The sequence below is a fragment of the Homo sapiens genome, chromosome 18, assembly GCF_000001405.40.
Source record: "Homo sapiens chromosome 18, GRCh38.p14 Primary Assembly".
NCBI lineage: Eukaryota > Metazoa > Chordata > Mammalia > Primates > Hominidae > Homo > Homo sapiens.
In genome coordinates, this window is record NC_000018.10 from 74,486,287 (window position 1) to 74,496,064 (window position 9,778).

Below are 9,778 nucleotides of genomic sequence, written 5' to 3' on the forward strand. Positions count from 1 at the left end.
CCTCCATGCCCACACTGCTCTAGGGGGTCCCCAAGCACAGATGGCTGCACTGTGTGCTGTGCGGTTCTGCCAGGTGGGCACCAGACCCAAAGGCAGCCATCAGCATGTGGGATTGGGCCAGTGGCTCTGGTGGCCTGGAGGGAGCCTGGAGTGAGCATCCTGCCCAGCTGGGGAAGTTTAGTTCTAATGATAACTTGCTAAATGAATCACAGGCTCTCTTTTGAGAAATTTCAACCTGAGATGTGGGAAACAAAGTATCCAAGTAGAAACTGGAAGCAGCAGAATGACAGACAGCAGGGAACAAAGGCCGGGTGGTGTGGACGCCTCGGCAGCTGCCGGTCATCAGAGGGGGGCTGACCATCCCATGGTGTGGACGCCTCTGCAGCTGCCGGTCATCAGAGGGGGGCTGGCCGTCCCACGCAGCGTGTTCTCCCAGTTCACCGTGAGAAGCTCTTCCCTGGTAAGCCCCGGTAGCCTTAGCAACCTGTGTGCTACTCTGTTCCTGGCTGCTTGAAAGTCTAACCCAGGGAGGTTCAGGAAATATGTTAGGCCTGGTCCCGACCCTAAAGGAGCCTGTCCTGCAGTAAAGGCTGGGTGGGTGGGTGGGTGGGGTGGGGGGACAAGACTAAAGATCAACAGAGAGCAAGGAAGAAGCTGCCTTACCCTCCCCAACCTGCTTTCAATCTCATTCTCAAAGCATCTTCCTGGGCTAGGAATTGGAAAACACACGGTTATTTGTTAGGTACAAAAGTTACTACCTGTGGGGTGTTGTACTGTCCCACATGTACAAGCCATTATTCTAGAGAAACAGATTCTGGGCAGAGAGCACATTCCCACTTTCTGTGCTCATAAATGCTCTCTGCAGGGACACACAACTTACTAGGTGGGAGACTGTGGCAGGATGAAGTGAAGCAGGAATCCAGGGGTCACTTGGTCCCTGCAGTCCTTCATCTATCCTGTTGCTGTCACTTAGGCCAGAACTCGTACCCCCTGCGGCTGGGGACACACAAATTGAAAAGACACCTGCTGTCCATAGACAGCAGCACTGGCATCAGCCATGAGCTTCACATCAACCTGGGGCAGAGGGGAAAACAGGAGGCGAGGGGAGGGACATGAATTCTAACTACGACTAAGGTCCCATGGGAACTAAGAAAATTCACTGGAGTGAGTGCCTCTATCTGGAAAGGATTCTATTAGTTTCTACATCAGATAGACCTGGGCCTTTGAGATAACAATCAAGTATAGTTATAAAAAAATTAAATCGTGTTTTGCAGATAAAGCATTGGGGCTTAAATTCTCTAACACACATAAGGCGCTTCTGCAGCCCCCTGCATGCAGCAGGTGCGTAGCCAGGCAAGCCGGTATTCTGTCTCCCACCCATACAGTAGGATGGACTGGTGGTGAGTGACGGGAGGGACGCACTGGACTAGCACACTGGGTGCCGCAGCTGAGACACAAGGAGAGAAAGGCCCAGAGAATGGCAGCTGTGCAAATAAGAGAAGTGTTTGAATGTGGAAGCCATTTCAGATGAAAATCATGTCAGTCATATTTAAATAAGTATAGATCTGTCCTGGTCAAATAGTGTCTCCACAAAAGTCATGCCCACCTGGAATATATGCATGTGGCTTATTTGGAAATGGGGTCGTCGCAGATGCCATCCAGTTAAGAGGAGGTCAGGCCAGGCGCAGTGGCTCACGCCTGCAGTCTGGCACTTTAGGAAGCTGAGGTGGGAGGATCACTGGAGCCCAGGAGTTTGAGACCAGCCTGAGCGACACAGGCAGACCCTGCCTCTACCAAAAAAAAAAAAAAATTACGTTTTTTAAAAAAGTTAAAAGGGGTTGGGCGCGGTGACTCACGCCTATAATCCCAGCACTTTGGGAGGCTGAGGTGGGCGGATCACTTGAGGTCAGGAGTTCCAGACCAGCCTGGGCAACATGGTGAAACCACTCGACTAAAAATACAAAAACCAGCCAGGCATGGTGGTGGGTGCCTGTAGTCCCAGCTACTCAGGAGGCCGAGGCATGAGAATCACTTGAACTCGGGAGACAGAGGTTGCAGTGAGCTGAGATCATACCATTGCCCTCCAGCCTGGGTGACGGAGAGAGACTTGTCTCAAAAGAAAAAAAAAGTAAAAGGAGGTCCCCTGGATTAGGATGGGCCCTATCCAATGACTGGTGTCCTTCTTACTAGGCCATAGACACAGACATACACAGAGGGAAGATGGCTGATATGGTTTGAGTCTCTGCCCCCACCCAAATCTCATCCGGTACTGCAATCCCCATGTATCAGGCGAGCGGTCTGGTGTGAGGTGATTGGATCACGGGGGCGGATATCCCTGTTGCCGTTCTGGTAACGTTGAGTGTGTTCTCATGAGATGTGGTGGTGTGAAAGTGTGTGGCACTCTCCTTTTCTCTCCTGCTCCACCATGGTAAAATGTGCTTGCTTCCCCTTCACCTTCCACCATGGTTGTCAGTTTCCTGAGGCCTCCCCAGTCTTGCGGAACTCTTTTCTTTGTAAATTACTCAGTCTCAGTAGTTCTTTACAGCAGTGTGAGAACAGACTCACACAATGGCCATGTCCAGATGGAGGCAGAGACTGGAGTGAGGCAGCTATAAGCCAGCAGACACCAAGGATTGCTGGCACAGCCCAGAAAGGAGAGAAAACAATGAAACAGGCCCTCCCTCAGAGCCTTCAAGCCCCAGAAGGAGCCAACTCTGAGGACAGACACCTTGATTCTAGACTTCCGGCCTCCTGAACTGTGAGAAGATAAGCGGCTGTCGTTTGGGGCCACCTGATTTATGGCACCTTGTACAGCAGCCCTAAGTTAACGAGCAGAATCCACAATGAGAAAGCCGACCGTTCCTCAGGTGACGTGAGTTCTGGGTCAGACCTGTTAAATTCGAAAGGAAGTGATATCCTGAAAGCCTATGGACCTGGGTAACTAAAGGACCTTGAAGGTGGAGGGGAGGAGGCAAATGCTGGCCTCTCAGAGGAGGACTGGGGACCCTTTGGAGAAATTAGATGGACCGGAATTAGATCCATTGGTGAAAGTGGCAAGGCACAGGAAGACCTTGTGGAGGTTCGGGAGTTTGCTCTTTAACAGCTGGGCACATTCAGAAGTGACAAATCCATTGGCGAACTGGAGACAGGAGAGGGTCTGGAGAAAATGCAAAGACAATCAGTATGTCTGTGATATTGCCCTCCCAGGAATGTTGGCTCTTCCTATAATAATCTATATGTTCTTGAGGAATATATGAGAATGCAACCATATAGCCTTCAAATTCTTATTGAGAACTTTGCCAAATCAAAACCCCAGCTGATCTATGAGGTGTTCAGAGGACGTTCCTGACTGCTTGGTCTTAGACTAGACAACTGCAACTTCCCGTCATCCTTTGATATTTAAGGGTTAATATGAGAACTAAGTGTTTAGCCAAGAAGCTGAAATTATAAACTGAGATGTTTTTGTCAGCCCAGGCTGCTATAACCGAACACCACAGCCATGGAGGGCTTAAACCACAGGCATTTTTTTCTCACAGTTCTGGAATCTGGGAAGTCCGACATCAAGGTGCCGACAAATTTCATGTTTGATGAGGGTCCACTTCTGGTTAACAGATGGCCGTCTTCTTACTGTGTCGTTAGAGGGGAGAGAGACCAGGAGGGAGGGAACAAGGGAGGAGGGAGGGGAAAGAGAAAGAGAAAGAGGGAGGAAGGGATGTAGGGAGGGAGGGAGGGAGGGAGGGAGAGAGAAAGTCTCTTCCTCTTCTTATAAGAACACTAATCCCGTCGTGGGGACTCCAACCTGGTGAACTCATCTAAACCTAATTACTTCCCAAAGTCTCCACCTCCAAATACCATCAGATAGGATATTAGGGGTTCAACATATGACTTTTAGGGATACACAAATATTTAATCCATGGCATGAAGCAATAAAATTTACTAAGAAAGTTAGTTCTGGAGGCATAGTCGGGACTAAGATTTATTGGCCTAGTAGCTTTTTTTAAATCAGCTTGTTAACAACAACAAAAAAAAATCAGAAAACACACATATAACCTTCTAGACCAAGCCATTAAATGTCCTGTACTTTTATAAAAGCATAAAATAACATAATATCTTTCCCTGAAAATGTAACTACTAAAAAGAAACATGTTAAATAATCCATGCTACTTTTAAAAGAGGAAACATTCTTCTACTTTATTAGTAAAATCAAAGCTTTTCTTTTTTTTTCTTTTTTTTCTTTTTTTTTTTTTCGAGATGGAGTCTCGCTTTGTCATCCAGGCTGGAGTGCAATGGTGCGATCTCGGCTCAGTGCAACCTCCGCCTCCTGGGTTCAAGAGATTCTCCTCCCTCAGCCTCCTGAGTAGCTGGGATTACAGGCATGCACCACCACGCCTGGTTAATTTTTGTATTTTCAGTAGAGACAGGGTTTCACCATGTTAGTCAGGCTGGTCTCGAACTCCTGACCTCGTGATCTGCCCACCTCGGCCTCCCAAAGTGCTGGGATTACAGGCATGAGCCACCGTGCCCGGCCATCTTTTATTTCCTTTTTTGCATTTTCTGTTACGGTGGCACATTCAGAGTGTGTGCAGTGACAGCCTCTGGTGTTCTTTCTGATGACAGACTCACACATGGGAAAAGTCTCTAAATTATAAGACGAGCAATATGGTGGTTATTGTTTCTTTAAGAGTTTGCTGTCTGCATATTACAATTGCTACACAAGACATAAGAGTTCCAACTATACAGGTTAATCAGCTCACAAACCATGATGTGAAAATTAGATTTGGCATGCAACCAAAGAAATAGCAAAACAAAGGGAAGTACACATAGGGCTTAATAATACGTATGCAAAAAAAAAAAAAAAAAAAAAAAGGCTTGGCGCGGTGGCTCATGCCTGTAATCCCGGCACTTTGGGAGGCCGAGGTGGATGGATCACCTGAGGTCAGGAGTTCGAGATCAGCCTGGCCAACATGGTGAAACCCTGTCTCTACTAAAAATACAAAACTTAGCTGGGTGTGGTGGCACGTGCCTGTAATCCCAGCTACTCAGGAGGCCAAGGCAGGAGAATTGCTTGAACTTAGGAGGTGGAGGCTGCAGTGAGCTGAGAGCATACTGTGCTCCAGCCTGGGTGAGACAGAGTGAGACTCCGTCTCAAAATAATAATAAATATGCACTGATATAAGACTTACAGTGGGTAACGGTCTACTTTCCTGATCATCTGAATGAGATAACCTTAAAAATTACCAGTTTTACTGGCCTCAGAACCATGTTAAAGGTTATAGATCAGAGATTTCCAATTCTTGAATTTCTCAATTTCAAAAATTCTGAATTCAATATGTTTAAGGTGAGGTATGTTTATCATAAGAATTGTAGCAAGTTTGACCACACGGGTGGTACTTTGATGAGAAAGGATATGTGAAATGTGAAGTACATTGAGATTGATTCATGATTCCCTTAGGTACTGAATAATTCCTGATATTTAAGTTTAAAATTGTATCTGTGCAAGAAACACATTCAAATATATGGGACAAGCAAAATCCACTAAGAAAACATGTATTTTCCTACTCCTGGTAGGTTTCTCAGGCTCTGCTTGCAGAATAAAGAGGGAAATGTCCAGAAAATGTAGATGGAAGTGGGTCTAGGTGGATCAAGATGTGCTTAGGTGCCATGTGAGGATGTCTGCATTTTATTCTGGGGCCATGGCAGCCACTGACAAGCAGAGGTCCAGTTGGGCAAAGAGAGAGGCCCAAATCTGAGCAATGGCCAAGAGGATGGAGAGAGGGAGCAAATGAAGTCATCTCAGAAGTAAAGTCCAAAAGGTCCCTAACTGATTGGAAGGTTGCAAATTAAATGAAGAGCCATCGTGGGATTGTATTGGTTTTCTATTGCTCTGTAACAAATCACCACAGACTTTGCAGCTTCAAACAACACCTGCTTCTTGTCTCTGTTTCTGTGGCTCAGAAATCTGAGCTACTCTTAGCTGGACCCTCTGTTCAGGGTCTCACAAGACTACTGAAAGTGTGGGCCAGGCTGTGTCCTCATCTGGATGTTCGACTGGGGAAGAATCTGCTTTCAAGCTCATTTGGATTGTTGGCAGAATTCACATAAGTGAGGCCCTTGCCCCCAGAGGCCGCCCTTCGTACCCTGCCATTTGACCCCCTCCACAATGTGGCATTCACTCCTCAAGGCCAGAGGGAGAACATCTGCTGCAGCTGCAAATCTCTCTGACTTCTCTCATCTATGACTTCTGCACCCTCTTCCAAAGAGCTCACCTGATTGGGTCAGCCCCACCAGTGCCCAAGGGGAGGGCCAGGAGTCTTAGAATTCTGCCTACCATAGGGGTGGCAGGAGGTGAGAAAAATCAAGTTTGGCTTTGGACATACTGATATTTGAAGGGCCTGGGGGATATGCCAGTCAGAGAAAATATGATCATTTGGAGCTGGAGAATTAGATTGGGTGATGCCATGGGAATGAACACAGGGCCAGAGAGTCTCCTGGAGACCAACTATTGAGTGGACTGGAACTGACCAACTGCTTACAGCTAACGAAATGTGACGTCTACGTGTAGTTGTTCCTTCCTAACCTCTTTATACTCTGCTTTCTTCTTTATGCCTTCCTACTTGGCAGGGATTCTCTAACATAAATATCAACTCCTTCCCTGAATATGGGTTTCTGGAGAAGAATTATACTCTCCAAAGTGGTCTCTGTTCCCAGGAAAGTTCTCTGTTTTCCAGGGGAATGCATGCTCCCACTGTCTGTATGTTAAGTTTGGTTAAACAGGTCAGGTGTTGTGGCTCATGCCTCTAATCCCAGCATTTTGGGACGCCAAGGTGGGCAAACACTTGAGGTCAGGAGTTTGAGACCAGTCTGGCCAACATGGTGAAACCCAGTCTCTACTAAAAATACAAAAATTAGCTGGACGTGGGAGTGCACGCCCGTAATCTCAGCTACTCGGGAGGCTGAGGCAGGAGAATCACTTGAACTTGGGAAGCAGAAGTTGCAGTGAGCTGAGATCATGCCACTGCACTCCAGCCCTGGGCAACAGAGACTCCATCTCAAAAAAAAAAAATAAAAACAAAAGTTTGGTTAAACAGACATGACAGATTCTGAAGACTAAACTCCATCTCATGCTGAGAACTACAAATTTCGGCAATTGGAAGCATGATCTAATGTTTTGTTGTTGTTGTTGTTGTTCTTGTACCATAGCATTTTTATTAGAATAATCACATAATATTAAATTAATTTTTTATTTTGAAATAATTTTGTTTTTTGAGTGGGTCTGTTATCAACAGTGACTTTTACAATGTTTGCATTCCCTAAGTTCTGAGAACAGTCACAGCCTTTCTCTTTCTGAAGTACTTAACCTGTGGTCACTCATCCTCATACTTCTTTGTTTTCTCTCATAATGTCCCTGTTGTCCTCAAAATCATCAGAGAGGAATAGGAACACATTTATGTAGCTCTTTAAGCTCAGGTTTGTTGCCACTGAGCCACCTGCAATGCACACTTTAAGAAGCAATGGACTTGCAGGGCCACCTGCTGGAAAATCAGAACTGAGCACACAGGCTCCAATACCAGCTACTTGCATTACCAGCTGTGTAAGGCAGTGGTCTTGAGAAAGATGACTGAGGGCACAAGGAAACTTAGGGACTCAGAGAGTTCTAAAGGGCATCAACCTCCAGCTTCTCAAATTTTCCAGAGGCTCTCTCCTAGAGCATGTAGGCGGTGCAACTGACCTGCTGACCTCAGCCAGGGTCTCCTGTTCCTAGGAGTCCTGGTCCCTGCACAAGGATGAGTAATTAACACTCATGAGGCACCTTCTCAGTGCCAGGCATTGTTCCTGATGCTGTATGTCATCAACTCTTGAAGCCTGGCATGCTCCAGACAAAGGGACAATTTGAAATGCCACATGGTATCACTGGAGGACAACTCCTTAATCAAGGACACTGATCAGGTACTGACTTAACATTGTTCCCAGGGGAATAATGACAATTAACATATTTCCAGGTAACAGGGTTCTATATTAAGGGTAAATGTTGTGTTTTGTATTTTCTTAACATTTATTCAGATTCATAGGAGAAACATGTTCACCAACTTCTTCAACACTGAGTACTGCAAATGCATTTTCATGTTTTCACTTGGACTGAAGCATCTGATTGCTCTAAAGTTCTCAACTACTTCTTTGCTCATTATTTATTCTTACCTTGAGCCTATTAAATTTTGGTAACAGTAGTGTGTTATGGCTTCTACTCTAAATCACTTCTTTTTGCTATATACATATGTGTGTGTGTGTGTGTGTGTGTTTTGTTTTTTTTTTTAACCAAACCCTCTTTTCAGCAATAATCTCATTTATGGATACCTGAACGAATTTATTTAAAAGCCCAGTAGATATGATTAAAGGATGTATCTTCCACCAATGTTTACTTTTTGCAATGTTTGCAAAATGTGTAATATAGTTTTTTCTTTTTATCATTCATGTACAATAATTATTATGAGAATTTAATCCAGAAGAAAAAATGTTAATACTTAAAGCTTTTTGGTTATAGCAAAGTGTCTATGGCCATACCACCCTGAACATGCCTAATCTCATCTGGTTATAGCAAAGTAAATATTAATTTAAATTTTTATCATAGTCTGTTGTAGAGAAATGATTAGGATATGAGTAAGACTATTAAGTATAAAAATGTTACATTTAACAAAATTCTATGAGGGATGTGGAATAGAAATAAAAAATAAAAGAGGAGGCAGGGATGGGGGGGACGGGGTGGCTCACGCCTGTAATCCCAGCACTTTAGGAGGCTGAGGCGGGTGGATCAGTAGGTCAAGAAATCGAGACCATCTTGACCAATATGGTGAAACCCTGTCTCTACTAAAAATACAAAAATTAGCTGGGTGCGGTGGTGCGCACCTGCAGTCCCAGCTACTCGGGAGGCTGAGGCAGAATGGCTTGAACCTGGGAGGCGGAGCTTGCAGTGAGCTGAGACTGGGCTACTGCATTCCAGCATGGCAACAGAGCAAGACTCTGTCTCTAAATAAATAAATAAATAAATAAATAAATAAATATAAAAAGAGGAAACAAACCATGTAAATTTTAAGGGAGGAGACAATTTTAACATTTTACTTTATGTGGGAACGTATACATCTCTTACAACTATTAAATTCATTTTTAAAAAATAATAACTCCCGAGCCATCACTCCTTAAAGAATGTGGTAGTGGTACAAGTTTAAAGAAAGTCTTTTGAGAACACTCTATTGGAAAAGTGAGCAGACTAGGGAATAACAATTTTACCCCCAAGAATTGTTGTTAAGATTAAAAAGGAAAGCGCTGTCGCAGACGCTCAAACACGGTGCTGGCTCTGCTTCCTTCATCAGTTCCTAGGGTCATGGGACACAAATACTAAAATATTTCCACTACTGGTAACGATGCTGGCGAACGCTTTCCTAATCCAGTTCAGACCGACCTCTCATTGGAGCTTGTGTGACCCGCAGGAGTCCGTGCCCCGACTCCGCCGGGACTGAAACGCAACGGAAAGTGCAGTGCTGGATGCGCAAGGGAATGGGAGCGTCGTGGGACCTCCGGAGCCTGGGAGATCAGAGGGTGGAGTCAGGGCCCCCTAGTTTTGGACTCCATTGCCGCACTGCAGGCGACTTCTCGGACCCCACCGTTGAAGCACCAGGCCCCCCGCCCACCCAAGAGCAACCGGGAAGCACAGCACAAGCCCACAGCTCCGGACACGCGCTCCCGTGTGCCCTGCCTCCCCTGAATCCCAACCCACGAAATCTCC

General features: G+C 45.6%; 2 annotated features.

Moving 5' to 3' along the window:
- Positions 7,442-7,491: a silencer, noted in NCBI's record as "silent region_9542". NCBI's record gives its function as "represses an Ori minimal core promoter by ATAC-STARR-seq in GM12878 lymphoblastoid cells {active_cell/tissue: GM12878}" and the evidence as "EXISTENCE:reporter gene assay evidence [ECO:0000049][PMID:35858748]".
- Positions 9,363-9,632: an enhancer, noted in NCBI's record as "active region_13496". NCBI's record gives its function as "activates an Ori minimal core promoter by ATAC-STARR-seq in GM12878 lymphoblastoid cells {active_cell/tissue: GM12878}" and the evidence as "EXISTENCE:reporter gene assay evidence [ECO:0000049][PMID:35858748]".